Source organism: Homo sapiens, chromosome 4, assembly GCF_000001405.40.
Source record: "Homo sapiens chromosome 4, GRCh38.p14 Primary Assembly".
In the NCBI taxonomy this organism is placed as follows: Eukaryota; Metazoa; Chordata; class Mammalia; order Primates; family Hominidae; genus Homo; species Homo sapiens.
In genome coordinates this window covers 77,057,020-77,078,983 of record NC_000004.12, presented here as the reverse complement: position 1 = coordinate 77,078,983, position 21,964 = coordinate 77,057,020, and the positions used below count along the sequence as shown (strand labels likewise).

Below are 21,964 nucleotides of genomic sequence, written 5' to 3'. Positions count from 1 at the left end.
AAGAGGTTATGAAGATGTTAATTGAATTATTTTTGTTTTTCATTTTTTGGGTAGCAGCTTTATTATAATTCAAACACCATAGAAGTAATACATTTAAAGTGTACAATTCAATGGTTTTTAGTACAGGTTGCATATCCCTGATACAAAAATCTGAAATGCTCCAAAATCCAAAGCTTTTTGAGTGCCAACATGACACTCAGAGGAAATGCTCATTTTGGATTTTCAGACTAGGTTGCTCAACCAGTAAGTATATAATTTAATGCAAACATTTCCAAAACTGAAAAAAAAGTTTAAAATTCAAAATACTTCTGGTCTCAAATATTTTGGATAATACTCAACCTAAATATTCACAGTTGCGCAACCATCAACACAATCAATCTCAGAACATTTTTCTCACCTCAAAAAGAAACCTTCAAAAAATCAGTTGGGCATGGAGGCATGCGCCTGTGGTTCCAGCTACACAGGAGGCTGAGGCAGGAGGATTGCTTGATCCTGGAGGTCAAGGCTACAGTGAGTCATGTTCACACCATTGCACTCCAGCCTGCAGCCTGGGGGACAGAGCAAGGCCCTGTTTCCAAAAAAAAAAAAAAGAAAAAAAGAAAAGAAAAAAAGAAAGAAACCCCCATATCATTTAACTATCATCCCCTAATCCCATGCCTGCCCCTAGCCCTAAGCAACCACTTCCTTACTTTCTGTCTCTATATATTTGCCTATTCTGGACATTCACGTAAGTGGAATCATATAATATGTGGTCTTTTGTGACTGGCTTCTTTCATTTAGCATACTGCTTTCAAAGGTTATGCATGTTATAGCATGTATTAGTATTTTCTTTTTATGGCCCAATAAGATTCCATTGTATAGGTCGGTGTGACGGCTCATGCCTGTAATCCCATCACTTTCAGGCTAAGGAGGGAGAATTGCTAGAGGCCAGGAGTTTGAGACCAGCCTGGACAACATAGGAAGTCTCATGGCACCCCCATCTGCGCCACGGAGCCAGACCCCATCTCTTAAAAATAAAAATTTGATTGTACATAGATGTATCACATTTGATTTATACAGGCGCCAGCTGATGAACATTTAGGTTGTTTCATCTTTGGCTATTATGAATAATGCTAACGTTTGTAAAAAAGTTTTTGCATGGACAAATATTTTCCTTTCTCTTGGGTATATATTTAGGAGTGGAATTTGCATTATTCTTATTGGAGTGAAAATCAGAAGCAATTTCATGGTCTAACAATGGAATTATGTTACACTCTCAATAGTATTATGCAGAAATGCTACAGTCTCAAGAGTAACATGCAGAAAAATGGTGGCTTTTTTGAATGAAGACCATATAATAATAGGCTACATGAAGTGAAAAAAAGAAAAAAAAAGGATACAACCCACTTGAAATCCTCCTAGGGCTTCCCATTCCTTCTTCTGTTCTATGGCATCTGTCCTCTGCTTCCACATCCTGCCTCAGTTGTCTGAGGGCCAGCCACACTAGCTTTCAGAGATTTTTAGAACGTCTCAGCTTCGGAGCCTTTTCACATAACTTCCTCTGCTTGTATCATTCTTTGCCCAGTGGTTTCAAGTCTCATCTTAAATGTCACTTCTTCAGAAAAACCTTCTCTGATATCCCAAACCAGGCGGAAAGGCAAGCGTTTCCACAGCAGCCGGCGATTTTCCATCTTAACGGTTTTAATACCAGAATTGTTTACTTGGTCAAATATTGAGAGCCTTTTATACACAGGGATAGAGGGTGAAACATGCAAGATCCCTGCCGCCTGCGACCTTATATTCTAGGGAGGGGATACATGCACAAGTAAACAAGTAAATGTACTTGGTAATTTTACATAGTGATAATTAGCTCAATGGTTATCCTCTGTTTGGACTGTAAACTCCATGAAGGCAGGAGCTATGTCTGTCTTGGCTACTTCCAGTTTGCTGAGTCTGGCCACTAAATAAACTCAACACATATTTTTTCACTGACAGTTAAAATAACTATATAAAAAACAAATGGAAAAAACAAACGAGACTTCTATAAATGGTTGAGATCTAGCTCTTCCTCTTTCAAAACTCTGTAATACTACATATTTTTAAATAATTAAAACAATCAAAATAGCAAAAAGTTACCGTTTGTACTAACAGAACCCCAAATAAAACCCATTTATGTCACCACACATTCTTTAAGCACCTGGTAATAAAACCTATTCGGAAATACTCAGACGTGTTGGTTGAGTGGATAAAATCCCCTTGCCACATTGCCAAGCAGGTTCCTCGCCGTCAGCAGTATAATTTACAGTGTTTCACTGAGGCCTTAAGCACCCATGATTTGATTCTCCCTAATTTTCCGATTCCTAAAACCCTTTAGAATCTCCCTCCACCCACACAATGTGGCAGTGAGAAAAACCGCAATTCTATTTACATGTCAACGGTAAGAACACGTAATACTTTGCTAGGTCAACAAATCTGCAAGATCTCCACCCAAGAGATCAGTAGCCCCTTCCCAGTGAATCCTTCTAAGAGCCTGGGGACGAGTAGGGCTAGATAAAACCAAGCTGCTGTAAAGCTGGACCACAGGAGCGGATCGTGAAATCCCCTCCCCCAAGCGCAGCGCTCGGCCGCTTCTTTCTTCCCCAGGCGCATGCGCAGCGCACTCTCCGGCCACCGCACGCCCCCTCAGTGGGGGCCCAGAGACGCTGACGTCACCGTGCGGTCTGCAAGCAACCCTTCCGCTCCTTCAAGGAAAATGAGTCCACGGACCTTCGGCTTTTCTTAGCCACGAGAAAACGTCCTCCCTCCTTCCATCCTAGTGCCAACGACTTCCCCAGCCCGTCTCCTTTCGGCCGCACTTCTCTGTACTTTCGTTGGACCGGGAAGGCGGCGGGGAGGAACAGGAAGGGTGAAAGACCAAGTCCGCGTAGTTTACAAGGAGTGGGCGAGTCTAGGAATCGGTCCGCGAGGGCGGAGCCGAGGAAGCCGGCACTTCTTCCTCCCTTCCCCTCTCTTCCCCTCCCTCCCCAGCCTTCCCCGCGAGCGGACGCGGCAGCGCCTCTGTCTCGCTTTTTCTTATTTTTCCCCCCTTTCCCCTTTCTTTTTTTTTTTTTCTTTTCTTTTCTCCCCTCCCCCCCTTTCACCATTTCCCCTCGGAGGCGCTTTCCCCGGGCAGGGGCAGAGCCGGTCTCACCCCCCGCCTCTCCCCGGCCCCCGCCGCCCTATGGCGAGAGGGAGCCCCCTCCCAACCCGGGCTCGAGCGGCGGCGGCCTCAGGCCGGGGGTCATCATGGAACTAATTCGCTGACCGACCCAGCGGCCGCAGCCGTGCGTCCCGCTCGAGCGCCAGCGCCCGCGCCCGCGCCCCCCGATCCGCTTCCCCTTTCTCCCTCCTCAGTTGGCCGAGTCGTCCCGCGCGCACCGCCTCCGCGCGCCTATGAGAATGAGGTGGTAACGGGCCCCCGGATGACCCCGCGTCACCACTGTGAGGCCTACAGCTCTGCCGGGGAGGAGGAGGAGGAGGAAGAGGAGGAGAAGGTGAGGGGCGGGGGCGGGGGCGGGGGCTCGACGCGTCTCCGCGGCCGGCGTCGACGCGCTGGGGCCCCGCTGCTCCCCCCGCGCCGCCCCCGTGGCAGCGCCCTTGGCCGCGCGCTGCTCGCCGGAGACCCACCCTCCCGCATCCCCCAGCCCGGGGAACCTCGGGGCCGCCCTCTTCGTCCTCTCCGGCCCAGACAGACCCGTCACCTGCCCACTTGAAAACGGCACTACTGTGTTCCTTTTCGGGCCAGTTTTTCTGTCAGCGAGTAACTTTTTTTTGTGGCAGCGGCAAATTAGCTACTCTATAGTGCGTGTTGGAGGCTCTACGAGCCCGTGTTAATACACAAAGAAGGGGACACACCCCCACCCTCAGGTTGAACGATTCTCCGGGGACACCAGGAGGATTACTAACTTTGCACGGCAGACTGAATGCCAAATGAATGGGGTGAACCTCCGGTGCTGTGAAATTCGGGGGAGGGCAACGTTACCCAGGGCTTGGGGCGGGTGGGTGGGGGGAATCCGGGGGAGGTGAGATTTGAGTTGTGCTCTAAAGGCTAGATTAAATAACTGGAATTTGAAAGGAGGACAGAGGAGCCTCCGCTGGAGCTAGGGGGCTCCGTTACAGATCCTTTTGGCAGAAGTTGACAATTGGGTATCAAAACAGTGGAAGGTGTTTCGGGAGGTAGGATGGATTCAGACTCTGAAGGGGTTTGAACTAAAATGTTTATGTTTTATTCTGTCAGTGGGGAGCCACTCGACTTAGAGCAGCAGAGCATTACAGTAATGACGTTAAATAACAACATTTGATGAGGCTTATTATCTGCCAGGCATTCTCCTAAGTGGCTTGCAATTCACTTAATCCCCCCAAGGCTGGTAGTAGGAGCCTCATTTTACAGATGAGGAAAACTGAGACTCCACAAGATTAACTTTCTCCTTAGGTAACGCGGCTAAAACCCAGTAGCCAGAATTAAGTCTGATTCTACGCTGTGTGGTCTCTGTCCTGAAAATGAGTTTGTTGAAATAGCAGTGTTATCTGCTGCTAGCTTTTCCAGGTCATTTGTGGCAGATGAAATAGAAAGGATTGGACAAATAGATTAAGAAATAATGGACGGAATAGATGTAGATTGGCTAATCTGGGACCAGAGAATCTCCGAGAGATTCTGAGCCCCTCTACTAGAAATTTCTTGATACCGATGAAGGGCAGACTAATACAGTCAGCATGTGTTAGGGAAGTTCAGTAAAAATGATCTGCAGTTACAGGTAGTTTATGTGGTAATGTGACATCCTAGTAGGTTAGAATGGAGCTTAGCATGTGTGTTGGTCAAGATTGGAAGCTGAGTGTGTCCGTGTTTTGTTTTGATTGTGTAATACATTAAAAATGAATATTCATCTTCCTATGTATGTTTCTTCGTCTTTAAAATGGGCTTTATGGCTGAAATGGGGGTGTAGTAAGAAAAATAAAAAACTAGAAAAAAAGGGCTTTCCACAGTTTCATCAAATTGTGGGAACATTACATGAGTTAATATGGCATAGCGCTTTGAACAATAGGTAGTCAAATAGTAAGCACTCAGTGCTTTTACTTGTTAAGCTGTTTACAAGTGAAGCTATTAGGCATATGCTCAACTCTGGAGATTAACATCAAAGAATTCATTATTAGGAAAGGCAAGTTTACCAATAGTCTCAAAGCAACTAAATGTAAAGGTAGAATTATGTCCAAGTACAGATGTTGGAAGGCAGGGCACAACTGCACAAATCCAGAGAGTCTTACAGACTGATGGCTACTTTAGGAAGGGAAGTATGAGCTAGAGGACATTTCAAGTTGAAACAGCAGTGCTTGTACAGCCAGGGAGATTGGGAAAGAGCATACACTTGGAATTGCAAATACCTTTAATTCATTGTTTCTAGTGCATAAAGTCAAGGAGGGAATAGTAGAACTTCAGTTTCTTGTATGGCCACGTTAATCCCTCCTTTCAGAAGAGGAACTAAGATTCAGAAGTCAGCACTAGTACAGGATTATTAATGGAATTGGTGTGATGATGATAGCAAATACAATAATACATATTAGTGAAGTTGTTTATATTGTATACCCAGCACTGTGCAGCACTTTTCCTCAGAGGAGCAGGGGGCCCTGTATGTATATCTGTAATAGTTATGCTGTACAGTAAGCCTTTTATAAACTATTACCTCAGACATTAAGCTATTTGATAACCGTGGAGAAAGGAGAAGCGGCAGCAATTGAGAGGATGGGAGGAGAAATGTGAAACTGGCATAAAGTTTGATGTGTGTGGAATATGCCAACTAAAATAGTCTTTTGTTATTTCTTGCTTTTCTAAAAAAGCATGCAAAGTTGGATGTAACCAACAATAGGCATACAGTAACAAAACATAACTATATAGTTCTGTTAAAACTAAAATTGTATTTTAAATGTTTGCATTTTCTTAGCGGAATTTATTAATTCAACTCAAAATGTGCTTTACCCGTAGAAAATAGGCTTGTGCACTGTCAGTAAAAGAAAAGCCAAGCCCATGCTTTCTGTATCATAGTATGTCTTACTAGTCTTGTCTTTTGTTCTTTTATGTGGAACATACATTATGACCCTATACTGCTAAATATTTCACAAGAATAGTAATATTCTCTTACAGAATCACAGCAAAATTTTCAATTTTGGTAAATTTAGCATTTGATACATTGACTTGTGTAATCTACCGTCCCAATTATCTCATTTGACCCAATAATGACCTTTACACCATTTGTCTCCTTCCAGTACAGGATCTAGTTGAGGGTCAGGTATTGCAGTTTCGTTTCTTTTCTTTTTTTTTTTTTTTTTTTTTTTAAGAGATTGGGTCTCACTTTGTTACCCAGGCTGGAGTGAGGTGCTGTAATCATAGCTGACTGCAGCCTCAAGCTCCTGGGCTTACGTAATCCTCCCACCTGAGTCTCCTGAGTAGCTGAGACTACAGGCAGGTGTGTGACATCATGCCTGGCTAGTTTAAATTTTTTTTTTTTTTTTTTTTTTTTTGGTGGAGACAGGGATCTCGCTCTGTTGTCCAGGCTGGTCTCAAACTCCTGGCCTCAAGTGCTCCTCTCCTGCCTCACAAAGTTCTGGGATCACAAGCAGGTGCCACCATGCCCTGCCTTCTGTCCTGTTTTTAAAAGTTTAAGGAAATTTTACCTCGTTTTACTTTTTCTTTGTTAGCTTTCTCTAGAGTGAGCAAAGAGTGATTCTTTTTTTTACTATTGATAATGTATTGCGTTGATTTCTGAATCTTAAAACAAGCTTGCATTCCTGGAACAAATCCCACTTGGTTATGGTATATAATCCTTTTTTTAATATTGCTGGATTCAGTTTGCTAGTATTTTGTTGAGAAATTTTGCATTTATATTCAGAAGAAATACTAATCTGTAGTTTTCTAGTGATGTCTGTCTGGTTTTGGTAGCAGGGTAATAACTGGCTTCAACGAATAAGTTGGGAAGAATTTGTAAAGATTGCTATTAGTTTTTCTGAAAATGGTTGGTAGAATTAACCAGTGAAGCCATCTGGGCATGGATTTTTCTTTGGCAGTGCTTTAAAAAAATTAACTGTTTAAATCTTTGGTTTTACAAATACTCAGCTTTTTTCTTTCTTTCTTTTTTTCTGTTTTTGTTTTTTTGGAATCATCTCACCAGTGCAGCTTTTTACTTCCTAAGTTTTGGTATTTTGTATTTCTGGGAACTGGACCATTTCATCTAAAATTGCCAATTTAGTTGCACACAGTTGTTCATAAATTCCTTTATAATTCTTTTTATTTCTGTAAGGTAGGTAGTGTCTTCTTTTTAGTCTTGATTTTAGTAATTTGTCCTCTGTATTTTCGTGGTCAGTCTAGCTGGCTAAAGGTTTGTCCATTTTGATCTTTTCAAACAATCAGCTTCTGGTTTCATTGACTTTTCACTGCTGTTTTTGTATTCTCTACTTCATTAATTTCCATTCTAATATTTAGTATTTCCTTGCTTCTGTCTTGCTTTAGGAACAGTTTACTCTTCTTTTTCCATTACCTTAAGGTGGAAGATTAGGCTCTTGATTTGAGATATCCTTTTTTAGTAGAGGCATTTTCAGGTATTAATTTATTTCTAAGCACTGCTTTAATTGTATCTGGTAAGTTTTGGTATATCTTCATTTTCACTCATCTCAAAGTATTATCTAATTTCCCCTGTGACTCTTCTTTGACCAGATACCTTTGTTTTAAAAAAAGTTATTACAATATAAATATTTGAAAGTCATACTGAGGGCTTTAATTATAGGCAATTGGAGAACGGGAATCCATTGAACCTGATTTACTTCTTTTTACATGATTCTACTTTATGTGTCTCTTTCTGTACCATCTAAACCCCCTAAAAATAATCTTGAAACCTAGTGAAGGAACTTGAGTCACTAGTGACAGTCGGTTGTTGGGATAGCTTGTGAAGGCTGGTGGATCCATTTGGTTGTAGCTAATGGCGTGAAAGAATTATTAAAGTTTTAAGGTTTTTAATAGGAGTTTGGAAGAAACCTTAGAACCTATGAAGTCTAATCTTGACCCAAATAGCTGTTTCTTCTAAATATCTCTTGTCAGATGGTCATCTGGTTTACATTCCATTTCTTTTATATAAAGATTTTCACTGTGTTGCCCAGGCTGGTCGTGAACTACTGGGCTCCTCCTGCCTTGGCCTCCCAAAACTTCGATAGCTCCTCCTGCCTTGGCCTCCCAAAGTGTTGGAATTACAGGAATGAGCCACAGCACCTGGCCTACATTCCGTTTCTAGTGTTAATACTTATGTCTGCATTAGAAGAAATTATAGTGAGCTTGCCTACCAAATTGTTGAAGATCTGAGAAAGGCACCAAGGCAACAAAATTGGAATCTCAGAACATCTCAGCAGTATGCAACAGGGATAGAATATAACAGGATGACCTTTTTTCTTTTTTATAAAGAATATTTTTAAAGTTGTGAACAAGGATGTGTCAAAAAAAAAAAAAAAAAAAGAAAGTACCCAAACCTCGCACACAATGGGTTGGGGCAGGTAGGGGTAGAACTGGCTTAACAAGGAACCTGAGAAAGTCTCCTAAGAGTTTTTGTTGACCGTAAATTATATCTGAATTGATACCGAGGTGTGGTCTTCAAAAAAAAAAAAGCTAATGAGGGCCACGAGTGGTGGCTCATGCCAGTACTCCCAGCACTTTGGGAGGCCAAGGCAGGCAGATCACTTGAGGTCAGGAGTTCAAGACCAGCCTGGCCAACATGGTAAAACCTGCCTCTACTAAAAATACAAAAATTAGCCATGTGTGGTGGTGTGTGCCTGTAATCCCAGCTACTCAGGAGGCTAAGGGAGGAGAATCACTTGAACCCAGGAGGTGGAGGTTGCAGTGAGCCGAGATCGTGCCACTACACTCTAGCCTGGGCAACAGAGTGAGACTCTTGTCTCAAAAAAAAAAAAAAAAAGCCCATGATTTTAGACTGTATTTATGGTAAAATTAAAGCTAATTTAGAAGAGGCAAAATATCGTGAGGAGCTATCGAAGTTTTCAGCTATGGAAAAGATGAATTGGTGAGCATGATAGCACCCTTCAAAGATTGGAAGGATTGGTGTGAAAGAGATTAGATTTTGGTAGGTTAAAGTTGTGAACAAGGATGTATCAAAAAAAAGAAGGTACCAAAACCCCACACACAGTGGGTTGGTACAGGTGGGGGTAGAGTTTTTGGTTGTGTGTTTTTGTTTGGGGCACCAGTGGTTGAAACTGGAACAATTGGTTGGGTCTCTGTTCCGTCGAAGTACTGTGCTGTGGACACAGTGAGTAATAAAAAAAATGAGGACACTTGGACACAGGAAGGGGAACATCACACACCGGGGCCTGTTGTGGGGTGGGGGGAGGGGGGAGGGATAGCATTAGGAGATATACCTAATGTAAATGATGAGTTAATGGGTGCAGCACACCAACATGACACATGTATACATATGTAACAAACCTGAACTTTGTGCACATGTACCCTAGAACTTAAAGTATAATAATAAAAAAAATATATATATATAAAAATGATATTGGCAGATGTGACTGCATAGGGATTTCTTTATTTGGAGACACGGTCTCATTCTGTTGCTGGGGCTGGAGTGCAGTGGCATGATTTTGGCTCACTGCAACCTCAGCCTCCCAAGTAGCTTGGACCACAGGCACGTGCCACCACGCCTGCCTAATTTTTGTATGTTTTATAGAGATGGAGTTTCACCACATTGCCCAGGCTGGCGTCGAACTCCTTGACTCAAGCAATCTGTCCTCCTCAGCCTTCGAAAGTGCAAGGATTACAGGCCGGAGCCGCTGCGCCTGGCCAGGAATTTATAACGTAGTTGGGGAGTTAACAGAAAGCTGCTTTATGACATGATTAAAGAATCAAGAGTTTTTAGAAGAAATTACCTTTGAGATAGGTCTTTTTGGATTAATATTAGTTCTTTTTCCTCTCTATTTACCCCTTGTCATCTTAGTATGAAGATATTTTATGCTAATTATAGAAGATTTGCAAAAACTCAGGCGTTTAAAGACACAAAAATTAACAAAATCATAATTGAGTTAACCAGAATTAGTCTCTAGTAAGTTGAGAAGCAAATAGGTAGCATATGTGGAGTGGTACATAGGAAGGAGGATAGTAGCTGGAGTTGGGATAGAATGTGGAAATTAAAGAAGTGGTTTGCTATTTTTTGCTTTTCCAAATTTTTTATTTTTAAAAAAATTGGAACTTTTTACATGTTAATTCTGGATATTTAAAAAAATTCTTAGAGCCCATGAATCTGAAGTGTGTAATACAGATACATAGTTTACAGGTACATAGTTGAGAAAGTCAAATTGTTAGTGAAATTTATAATGAAAAACAGCATTCTCCTACGCTAGGCCTTTCTCACCCTTTTCTTACTCTGCAGAGGTTAACTACTCCCAACTCTTTCCTCCTTGTCCCGTTATTTAGCATCACATTTTCAAACAACTTGCTCTGCTGCTGTTTTTTGACATTTCAGTTTGAGATATTTATGAATTTCCTACTATGAAATGTAAAGACGTGGCTTTTATTTTACCCTCTTCCAATATCCATAGTTATGTCTCCACATCCTGCCAATGTAGTTTTATCATATTGCGATCCCTATCCAGTCTTTTCATTATTATTGCTGTATAAATATTGTGATACATTACTTTCTTAAATTCTTTTTTCTGAAGTTAATTACCTTTTTAGTTGCTTACCTTTCAACAAATCCAGCTAAGCCTTTTCACATTCTTTTTTGTTTGTTTGTTTGTTTGTTTTGAGACGGAGTCTTGCTCTGTCGCCAGGCTGGAGTGCAGTGGTGCAATCTTGGCTCATTGCACCCTCTGTCTCCTGGGTTAAAGCGATTTTCCTGCCTCAGGCTTCCAAGTAACTGGGATTACAGGTGCCTGCCACCATGCCTGGCTAAGTTTTGTATTTTTAGTAGAGACGGGGGTCTCACCATGTTTTGTCAGGCTGGTCTGGAACTACTGACCTCGTGATCTGCCCGCCTCCACCTCCCAAAGTGCTAGGATTACAGGTGTGAGCCACCGTGCCCAGCCACCTTTTCACATTCTTTAGCAGTTTCTTAATCCAATTTTCTACACACAGTCAAACCTCAAGTCTGTAGTTTGCTTCTTTTTTTTTTTTTTTTTTTTTTTTTTTTTAAACCTAGAAGCCTGCACGGTGGCTCACACCTGTAACCCCAGTGCTTTGGGAGGCCAAGCCAGGAGGACTGCGTGAGGCTGGGCAACATAGCAAAACTGCATCTCTACAAAAAAAAAAAAAAACCCCACAAAATTACCTGGGCTTGGTGATGTGCATCTGTAGTCCCAGCTATTTGGGAGGCTGAGGCAGGAGGATCACCTGAACCCAGGAGTTCGAGGCTGCAGTGAGCCACTACACCACTGTACTCTAACCTGGGCAACAGAGTGGGACTCTTGTTTCCAAATACATATAAACATAAAACCTAGAGACATTTCTCTTGGACTCTATGTTGTCTTGCACTGCTAAACTTGCTATTTAGACATGCTGCTCATTTTAGAGTGCTAGTCAATGTACTGTGGAGCTTTCTAGGTGAGCACTGTTCAGTAGAACTTACTGTATTAATAGGAATGTTCCTTTTGTGCACTGTCCGATATAGTATCCACTAGCCACATCTGGTTATTGAAGTAAGGCTATTGTGACTGAAGAAATACATTTTTTTTTTTTGGTTTGTTTGTTTTTGAGACGGAGTGTCACCCTGTTGCCCAGGCTGGAGTGCAATGGTGTGATCTCAGCTCACTGCAACCTCTGCCTCCCTGGTTCAAACGATTCTCCTGCTTCAGCCTCCCGAGTAGCTGGGATTACAGGCGCCCACCACCATGCCCAGTTAATTTTTGTATTTTCAGTAGTGATGGGGTTTCACCATGTTGGCCAGGCTGGTCTCCAACTCCTGACCTAGTGATCCACCCGCCTCGGCCTCCCAAAGTGATGGGATTACAGGCGTGAGCCACCATGCCTGGCCAATTTTTAAATTTTATTCAGCTCATAGTTAAATATCCACATGTGTAGCTAATGGATACTGAATTGGAAGCGCAATTTAAGATGATTTCATACTGGAGGGTATGGTTTCATACTGAAGAAGTGGGAATGGGTAGGATTTAATGTAATATATTTTCTTTTTAATGAAGGAAAAATGTTAGTGGTCCTTATCTGATTAGGTTTTTAAGAGGAATGTTTGGAATAACTACTTCTAAGAATTCCTGGTAAAAAAGCCAGTGACAAAGTTTTGACAATTTGAAACAGTAATAACATGTTTTGATCAGAGTCCAAAGGTTCCATCAATTACATGGCCTTGTTTTTATTCTCTTTATAACTGAATTTCAGATTTCAAGTGTGAATGTTTTAGATAACTGATTATTTTGGTATTTTAATACGATATTTTAAAGAGCTATAAAATCCTATACTGCCTCATAGCATTCTTATTTTGTTTTATGAGTTGCTTAATTAGTACTTTATATAATGCTACACTTATTCTATAACTAATTTTAAAACTTACTTGATTCTGTAGGTAGCTACAGCAAGCTGGGTAGCAGGCAGATCCAAAGGATATCATGAAGTTTCCAGGGCCTTTGGAAAACCAGAGATTGTCTTTCCTGTTGGAAAAGGCAATCACTAGGGAAGCACAGATGTGGAAAGTGAATGTGCGGAAAATGCCTTCAAATCAGGTAATGATTTTTCTCTTAAGACAGATGAATTTTATTAGAAATAAACATACTACTGCCATACATAATAATATCTTGACACTACATTGGAGGAGTGTGTACCATTTAAGGATGTGCTGTATTTGAGAGACTCTCCCTGTTTCTTTTTTGTGTAACAGGGTCTCACTCTGTCATCCAGTCTGGAGTGCTGTGGCATGATCTCAGCTCACTGCAACCCCTGCCTCCCGGGCTCAAGCAATCCTCTCACCTCAGCCTCCTGAGTAGCTGGGACTACAGGCGCATGCTACCATGCCTGGCTAATTTTTTGTATTTTTGGTAGAGATGGGGTTTCACCATGTTGCCCAGCCTAGTCTGGAAGTCCTGAGCTCAAGCAGTCCACCAGCCTTGGCCTCCCAAAGTGGTAGGATTATAGGCGTGAGCCACCATGCCCGGCCTCTTCTTTTTTAAAAACTCCTGCTCCTGCTGTGGCCTTTTCTTTCTGAAACAAGAGTTAACTGTTTTTGTTTGTTGACCTGTTTTGTTGTTATCTGAGTTACAGCTTTGGGAAAATAGTTAGGTTTGTTTTCTTTCATCATAATCTATACTAACAGTAGTAACCTTCTTTAGATATATAGTTTATAGTTAGCCACAGAGGCTGAACATCTTCATACCATTGTCTTTAGTCAACTAAAAACCTACTCTTTCATCATTAGCGGTAAGGAGTTCATGTGAATTACTAAGGTAATACCAATGTTGGAAGCTTTTTAGAAGATAGCCAGCTGGTCTCTTAACTACTGTTAGCTGCATAGTTTTTCTTTTAGAAATTTTTATACTTCTGTCATATATAATTATTTTTCACAAATAACTGTGAACTTTATCCACTCCAAAAGTTTATTGTATAAGATGTCTTATATGTCTTTTATCCTTAATATCTAACATGGTGCTTGGAAAATAGAATAGTGGTCAAATGTTCTTTTAATATGCATGAGTGAATGAATGGCAAATATGTAAGTTCCTCGTGTGTTGTTTTAGGCTATCCTTTGCTTATTGGTTTTGAAAGTATATATGCCTTTTTAATTCAATTCTAATTTTTCCTACTTATTCTTTCCCACAAGCTAAAGAAATACATTCTTCATTTACTGTTACTTGTCATTTTGCAAACTGATTAGTTAACTTGAATGAGGAGTGTTTATATATATGCTATCTCATTTAATATCTCATTTAATTCTTTGAAAAAGTACTCAGTAGTCCCAATTTGCTCAAGACTTTAATAAGTAATAGAATGATAATTTGGGCTGGACGCAGTGGCTCACGCCTGTAGTCCCAGCACTTTGGGAGGCTGAGGTGGGCAGATCACCTGAGGTCAGGCGTTCGAGACCAGCCATGGTCAACATGGCGAAACCCCATCTCTACTAAAAATACAAAAATTAGCTGGGTGTGGTGAGTCATTCCTGTGACCCAGCTACTTGGGAGGCTGAGGTATGAGAATTGCTTGAACCCAGGAGGCAGAGGTTGCAGTGAGCCGAGATCACGTCACTGCACTCCAGCCTGAACGACAGGGTAAGTGAGACTCCGTCTCAAAAAAAAAAAAAAGAAAAAAAATTATAATTCGATCCTTTTCCTAAGGTAGTCCTCTTCCTGTGATATTTTGTGTGTGTGTGTGTGTGTGTGTGTGTGTGTGTGTGTGCGCGCGCGCGCATGTGTGATTTTTAGATTAGTTGGGAATTCAAGTCATTTAGCAAATGTCTGCTGAGTATCTGCTATACTCTAGGCACTATTCTAGGTATTGGGGATACAACAGGAGAAAATAAATTCCTGCCCTTATGTTGTGACATTCTAGTGAGCCTCAAAACTTTTTTATAGCTGCTTGTAGGACCATTCCTTTCCTCCTCCTGCTATCTCCTTAAGTCAGCATGTAACCAACAATAATATATTTTTACAGCCTGGTCTTTGAAGGTGATATTCTACCTAGATTGTAGTATATTGCTATATTACCAAATAATCTGACCTATTTCTTTTTTTTTTTTGAGAAGGAGTTTTTTTCTCTTTTTGCCCAGGCTGGAGTGCAATGGCATGATCTCGGCTCACTGTAACCTCGGCCTCCCGGGCTCAAGTGATTCTCTTGCCTCAGCTTCCCAAGTAGCTGGAATTAACAGGCACCCGCCACCATACCTGGCTAATTTTTGTATTTTTAGTAGGGACAGGGTTTCACCATGTTGGCCGAGCTGGTCTCGAACTCCTCACCTCAGATGATCTTCCTGCCCCAGCAACCCAAAGTGCTGGGATTACAGGCGTGAGCAACCACACCCAAATCTGGCCTATTTCTGTAGGTGATTTAATGAATACTGGTGTGGTAATACCAGAGAACAGAATAGTATCAGAACTTCTGAGAGAGATCCACTTCTTAAGGATTTGCCTTTAGTAATGCCAAGTAGAAGCCATATTTAATACTTGTAAAATTTGGGTGGCCTTGGTCTGGTGGGGATAGGAGTTAAGAATAGGGGTAAAAGGCTATAGGGGCTTGAGTTGCTTGCCAGGGTAACCCCCAGGGACACTTCTCTATTCTATTTTTTTTTTTTTTTGGAGACAGAGTCTTGCTCTGCTGCCCAGGCTGGAGTGCACTGGCGCGATCTTGGCTCACTGCAAGCTCCGCCTCCCGGGTTCACGCTATTCTCCTGCCTCAGCCTCCCCATTAGCTGGGACTACAGGCGCCCGCCACAACGCCCGGCTAATTTTTTGTATTTTTTAGTAGAGACGGGGTTTCACTGTGTTAGCCAGGATGGTCTCGATCTCCTGACCTTGTGATCCGGCCTTCCAAAGTGCTGGGATTACAGGCATGAGCCACCGCACCCAGCACCTTCTCTATTCTAGTTCTAACTCTTATTTTCCTCTAAGGGACTGGCTTTTTTTTTTTTTTTTTTTTTTTTTACCTCCCTTTCCACTGTTGCTCTGACTTTTCTAATTTGGTTTTGAAGTGTTGGTAAAAATGGAAAAGTAAGATATTTTTAAGCTTTCTCTTATGCCTTTTTCCTCCAGTTTCCTTCTAACTTCCCCCCTGCCCCAACTATATTTTGAAGTCAGTCTCTCACATAATTCTTGTTTAATTTGCATCCCCTATCCCCAAATTTAGGACAGTGTGGTCAGGCAAGAATATTATGCAGCTGTCACTCACCTTCTATGTGTTTCTGCCACACTCTGCTTCCCTTATGACAGCACAAAGTATTATAATTTTCTGGTGATTTGACTGTGAGTTTCCCTGAGGGGTATGGTGGTGTCATTTTTGTTTACTTGCATATAATAGACTCAAAGTAAGCATTTAAGTGAATGGTGATTATCATTTCTTTATGATTCATTCAGGTACCTTACTGTGTTCTTGGCACTTGCAGAGAACTTCTTTTATATTATGTAATAGTACTTTCAAGTTCATGATAATTTTGTTACATGAATTTGGGGAAAACATTGAAACTGGTCAAAGTGGCACATACTTTCAGATGTTCTCAATTTATTTTGCCAAAGTGCTTTTGATTTACAAAGATAAAACCCTGCCACAAATTGTTGATATACAGATGATTTTCAGTAGAATTTTAGAACTCTAAGGAATCTTAAAAAGAGGTTGTTAACAGCTTTTCTAGTCATTCTCAACTGGAGTTTAGATTTGCTGCTTCCTACTTCATCAAAGCCAAAAGGAAAAATTTAATTTTTTTTTTTTTTCTGAGACAGGGTCTTGCTCTGTTGCCCAGGCTGGGGTGCAGTGGCTCCATCACAGTTCACTACAGCCTCTATTTCCCAGGCTCAAGTGATCCTCCCACCTCAGCCTCCCAAGTAGCTGAGGTAACAGGCACGCACCACCATGCCTAATTTTTTTATTTGTGGAGATGAAGTCTCACTGTGTTACCCAGGCTAGTTTCAAACTCCTGGGCTCAAGCAGTTTTCCTGCCTTGGCCCCCTACAGTACTGGGATTACAATTGTGAGCCATGCCCAGAAATTTAATTTTTAAAAAAATGTTGAACGTTTAACAGGTGTAATGAGATGCTGTGGGAACATAGGAAGGTACTCAGCCCAACTTGAATTATCAGGAAAAGTATCTGGCGGGGAGTAACATCAAAATAGCTCTCAAGAGATACATAATAAGGCAGGTGAGAGAGAAGGGAGTGCGTTCCAGTCAGTAGGAGCAATATGAACAAAGGAGCAGTAACGTAAAATACCAGGGGCAAGGAAGGATCATCAGTAGAAGTTACTATTACAGCATGAAGTTTAAGACAGAAAGTGATGGAAGATGTCCGAGGTTAGAGAGGTAGGTCATAGCCGGGCATGGTGGCTTGCACCTGTAATCTCAACACTTTGGGAGGCCGAGGCGGGTGGATCACAAGGTCAGGAGATCGAGACTATCCTGGCTAACATGGTGAAACCCCGTCTCTACTAAAAATACAAAAAATTAGCTGGGTGTGGTGGCGGGTGCCTGTAGTCCCAGCTACCCAGGAGGCTGAGGCAGGAGAATGGTGTGAACCTGGGAGGCGGAGCTTGCAGTTAGCCAAGATTGCGCCACTGCACTCCAGCCTGGGTGACAGAGCAAGACTGTCTCAAAAACAAAAAACAAAAACAACAACAACAAAGAAGAGGTAGGTCATAGATTTGTATGCCATGCTGGGGAATTGTACTTAATCTTTTAGGTAATGGTGAACCTTTTAGAGTTTAAAGCTGGGGAGGTTGTATATTTTAAGGAGAAGACTAGCAGCATGTGGAATATAATATATATACAGAATATATATTAATAGCAGTCTATATTTTACCATGTTTGATCAATCCATTATAAATTCTCTTTAGGATTATTTGTTCAACTACTGAATCCTTCTAATCCTATTTAAGCAGTCCATATGAGAAACAGTTCACCTGATGGAATCAGGAAATACTGTTTTGGGCTTTTTCTTTTTCTCTCTCATTCTTTATTTTAGAGGAATAGGAATGAAATGAATTAGGCGCAGAACTTACTATTTGTAATGCTGTCATGATGATATTACTGTTTAGTACATATTTGAATTGATTTGAAAAAGTGACCTTAGACTCAGTATTACTTCAGTTAAATTGAGTCTTCTTAAACTGTTATCTTTTGGATTTTAAAAAAATTATTGCTGGTTTTGGCTAGTGATGATAACATTGGCTATGCAGGAATGCTTTTCTTGGCCCTGTTGTTAAATTTTACTATCTGGTATATGGGCCAAACATAGTGGCTTACACCTGTAATCCCAACACTTTGGGAGGCCGAGGTGGGAGGATTACTTGAGCCTGGGAGTTGAAGACCAGCCTGGGTAACATAGTGAGACCTCGTCTCTACAAAAAAGTAAAATTAGGCCGGGCGCAGTGGCTCACGTCTGTAATCCCAGCACTTTGGGAGGCTGAGATGGGTAGATCACTTGAGGTCAGGGATTTGAGACCAGCCTGGCCAACATGGCGAAACCCCATCTCTACTAAAAATACAAAAATTAGCCAGGCGTGATGGCACAAGCCTGTAATCCCAGCTACTTGGGAGGCTGAGGCAGGGAGAATTGCTTGAACCTAGGAGGCGGAGGCTGCAGTGAACTGAGATTGAACCACTGCACTCCAGCCTGGGTGACAGAGCGAGACTCCATCTCAAAAAAAAAAAAAAAATTAGCCGGGCCTGGTGGCACGTACCTCTGGTCCTAGCTACTTCAGGATGCTGAGGTGGGAGGATCACTTGGGGCTGGGAGGTCGAGGCTGCAGTGTGCCATGGTTGTGCCACTGTACTCCAGCCTGGGTGACAGAGCAAGACCCTGTCTCAAAAAGTATATGGAATATTAAAGTTCAAAGATATTGTCATGATTTCTTTCATGACTAATTGTTAACAGTGTTTAAAATAACTTCATAGATAATGTTTTGTAAATTTGTTTTTCTGACATTATTAGAGAATTGGGTAGTTTAGAGGTGGGAAAGGAGAACTAATATTTGAGTACGTTTGCATTCCATATATATGCTTTACATTAGTTATGTCATTTAGTTATAACTATATGATAATCTCCATATAACTGTATTCTCTTTTTTTGTATGTTACCTTTGTGATTCTTCTTACAATTGTATGTTTCTGTTATTGTTTAATGCCAAACACCAAATAGTGACATTATTTAATGTAATCTGTCATTCAGGGATTTTTTTTTTTCTCCCATACCCCACATTGTATCTCTAACTGAAGGTTAGAGTTAATGGTGTTCTTGTTTTCATAGCTACTGTAAGTCATCGTTCCTTTCATCTCCCTAAAAGCCTTCCCAGTTTCATCAGATTATAACATCACCTACCTCTCCTGGGAATTTATTTCCTTGTTGATGTGTTTGGCTGGCTTAGTTAACATTACTTTTCCTTATTTGTTGTGGCATTTTGGATAAAAGCTCATCTTGATAGGAATTTAATTTCTCTTGAATGCTTAACTCTTCATCCAGAAGTCTTGTGATTGGCTTTACTTGGTTCTCAGGGATTTTTATGGATCCTTAGTCCAGAACTAGATCTTAAAGTAGCCTGGATACAGAATTACAGCTAGATATGAGGAATAACTTCTAGTGTTCCATACCATTGTAGGCTTACTATGGTTAACTTAGGAAATACAAATGAACTATGATAACAGAATGATAGCCCATTTAAAAAACTGAAATCAATATTAATAAGTGAAAGTTACCAGGGGCAACAGATGAATTATACATTTAGAGATGATGAAAAAAAATATTGAACAGGAAATCAACCTGAAGTAAATGACTATTTTGAAAGCTTTCCACAAACACAAAACATTGTTGTTTTAATCTTCCTACATATTATTTGAGTATTCTCCTTACAGCTCTTTCAAACTGTTTGAAACTACAGTTTGAAAGAGCTGTAAGGAGAATACTGAATGTTCCCAAAATAAACAACCGGTTTTATTTTTTTAATGGCGACTCCAAAACTCAAGAGTAAAAGTTTTCTAATCACTATTACTTTAAAGTGTGTCCCTGCTAAAAATTAAGCTTATACTCAATAGGCTTACAACAACAATAAAACAATAATGTTTTGTGTTTGTGGAAATTTTTCAAAATAGTAATTTACTTCAGATTAATTTCCTGTTCAATATTTTTTCATCATCTCTAAGTGTATAATTCATCTGTTGTCCCTGGTATCTTTTACTTATTACTATTGATTTTAGTTTTTCAAATGGGCTATCATTTCCATTATCATAGTTCATTTATATTTCCTAAGATAAGTTAATGGCTACTTGCTGCGGGAGAAATTCACTGTATTTTCTTAATCTTAAGAGGTGGGGTAACTTAACTCCAAATTACTATCAGTTGATAATAGTGTTACTTAAACTTTAAAATGTTATATTCTCTGAGCACCTAAATTTAATTCAACTATGGATATTTGGTGAGATGACATAGTGAAAATTTTAATAAAGAGTAGGAGAATATTGGATATTGATATTAAATGTGATAATACATAAAGTTTTATTTCATGTGTCTCAAGTCTGATAGATTTTGAATAACCTTAACATTTTTAAATATATTTTGTAGTATTACCTAACCTTTTATGAGAGAGAATTCTAAACATACTCTTGATGATAGCTCAAACTTTGTCTTCTGTTTTCAAAATTGTTCCCTTATAGAATGTTTCTCCATCCCAGAGAGATGAAGTAATTCAATGGCTGGCCAAACTCAAGTACCAATTCAACCTTTACCCAGAAACATTTGCTCTGGCTAGCAGTCTTTTGGATAGGTTTTTAGCTACCGTAAAGGTAAGTGTTTTAAGATAGACTTACATATAACCTCATTTGAGTGTATGTATGCTAAACTAGAGGCTATTAGTGAACATTCTGTAAGGTAGAAAGAAGTGGAGAACTTTGCTGGAGAATGATGTATGTACCCATAAGAAGACATGGTGATGTCTTCTGCTATTGTTTATTTTATTTTTATTTTTTGATAGTTTTGCTCTGTTGCCCTGGCTGGAGTGTGTCTGCCTCCTGGGTTCAAGCAATTTTTGTGCCTCAGCCTCCCAAGTAGTTGGGACTGCAGACACGTGCCACCATGCCAGTCTAATTTTTGTATTTTTAGTAGAGACAGGGTTTTGCCGTGTTGGCCAGGCTGGTCTTGAACTCCCGACGTCAAGTCATCAGCCTGCCTTGGCCTCCCAAAGTGCTGGGATTACAGGCATGAGCCACCACTCCCGGCTTTCTACTATTGTTTAAAAAGCAGAAGTGTTTTTGGAAGTGTTTCTAATAGTATTCTGTAATTTTCTTTTTGTTACAAGTATTCATAACTTTTTAGCCTATGAAATTTTTTATCTCTTGATTTTAGCACAAACCGTATAGCATCAGCAGAATACTTAGTCATTTTCTAACATATTGGTGTACAGAGGTGGACAAGGAATCAGACTAGAATAAAGTATAAGCCTATTGCACGTTTTTCTCTGTCACTACTTATTGAATATCCATACTGTGTGGCTTTCTGAAAAACAAAGTGCTTTCTACGGGCTTACTTTGGTATATAACAAGATGTCATAAAGCAACTTTGGTATATTTTTGTTGAATGACAGCATACAAATAATTAGGTTTTATATTGTCCCCATTGCCATGTCATTGGCTGTGTCAAGTTAGTAAATAGGCCCTCAACATATTTAAAGCAGAAAATGAGCATTTATTTAATGGCAAGGCATGAAAAAGTAGCATAGTATTTAAACTTGTAGGCATTAGTATGCAAAAGAATATGTAAACTGGGGGAACTGTCAATTAAATGCTTTATTAGGTATACAGAATAGAAGCCAAATAATTACGGAGTGTAAGACTGAATAGCTGCTCAAACTTCTACTCTTAAGACACTTACTAAACATGACAGGACCCAATAAATAAGAAATATGAAAAAATGAGATATTTGGCAAAATTCTCTAATTGTTCCACAAATTTCTCCAACTTTGTTTCAAATGTTTAATAAACACAGCAAGAAACTCATGATAGAAACTACAACAATGTGTTCACTAATAATTTTTGAAAAATGTACTGTCCAAGAAAGGACACTAACTTTAAACTCATCTTTCTGTGGAATTATCTGTGAAAAGTAGGTTAGATGTAGTAGAGAGGGAGGGAGGAGTGATGTGGACTTGTTGCTGAGATAAAAGTAGGCATTTTTCAGATATCCCAGATTGCAAGCAATTAGCTTTAAAAAATGTTTACATACACAAAAAATTTTTTAATTTTGGGAATATTATTTATTAAAAACTTCTAAATCA

General features: G+C 40.4%; 1 protein-coding gene across 10 annotated transcripts in view, besides 6 other annotated features; it reads left to right on the top strand.

Annotated features, from left to right (window-relative positions):
• Positions 1,829-2,799: an enhancer, noted in NCBI's record as "H3K27ac hESC enhancer chr4:77997338-77998308 (GRCh37/hg19 assembly coordinates)". NCBI's record gives its function as "activates a minimal SCP1, AML or CMV promoter by ChIP-STARR-seq in naive H9 embryonic stem cells {active_cell/tissue: H9 hESC(naive)}" and the evidence as "EXISTENCE:reporter gene assay evidence [ECO:0000049][PMID:30033119]".
• Positions 1,829-2,927: a biological region, named in NCBI's record as "H3K27ac hESC enhancer GRCh37_chr4:77997338-77998308".
• Positions 2,698-2,927: an enhancer, noted in NCBI's record as "active region_21636". NCBI's record gives its function as "activates an Ori minimal core promoter by ATAC-STARR-seq in GM12878 lymphoblastoid cells {active_cell/tissue: GM12878}" and the evidence as "EXISTENCE:reporter gene assay evidence [ECO:0000049][PMID:35858748]".
• Positions 2,995-21,964, top strand: part of CCNI (cyclin I) — a 28,835-nt gene continuing 9,865 nt past the window's right edge. For 5 of the 10 annotated variants that reach the window (NM_001348137.2, NM_001348138.2, NM_001348135.2 and 2 more), the window contains exons 1-3: positions 2,995-3,512; positions 12,579-12,735; positions 20,349-20,477. In NM_001348137.2, the coding sequence (NP_001335066.1) occupies positions 12,622-12,735; positions 20,349-20,477 (243 nt within the window). In that variant the 5' untranslated portion in view covers positions 2,995-3,512; positions 12,579-12,621. Of the gene's footprint in view, positions 3,513-4,073; positions 4,195-12,578; positions 12,736-20,348; positions 20,478-21,964 lie in introns of those variants that run through there. The other 5 variants (NM_001348139.2, NM_001348136.2, NM_001348132.2 and 2 more) reach the window with 4 other exon arrangements.
• Positions 3,108-3,457: a silencer, noted in NCBI's record as "silent region_15500". NCBI's record gives its function as "represses an Ori minimal core promoter by ATAC-STARR-seq in GM12878 lymphoblastoid cells {active_cell/tissue: GM12878}" and the evidence as "EXISTENCE:reporter gene assay evidence [ECO:0000049][PMID:35858748]".
• Positions 3,518-3,667: a silencer, noted in NCBI's record as "silent region_15499". NCBI's record gives its function as "represses an Ori minimal core promoter by ATAC-STARR-seq in GM12878 lymphoblastoid cells {active_cell/tissue: GM12878}" and the evidence as "EXISTENCE:reporter gene assay evidence [ECO:0000049][PMID:35858748]".
• Positions 6,429-6,498: an enhancer, noted in NCBI's record as "active region_21635". NCBI's record gives its function as "activates an Ori minimal core promoter by ATAC-STARR-seq in GM12878 lymphoblastoid cells {active_cell/tissue: GM12878}" and the evidence as "EXISTENCE:reporter gene assay evidence [ECO:0000049][PMID:35858748]".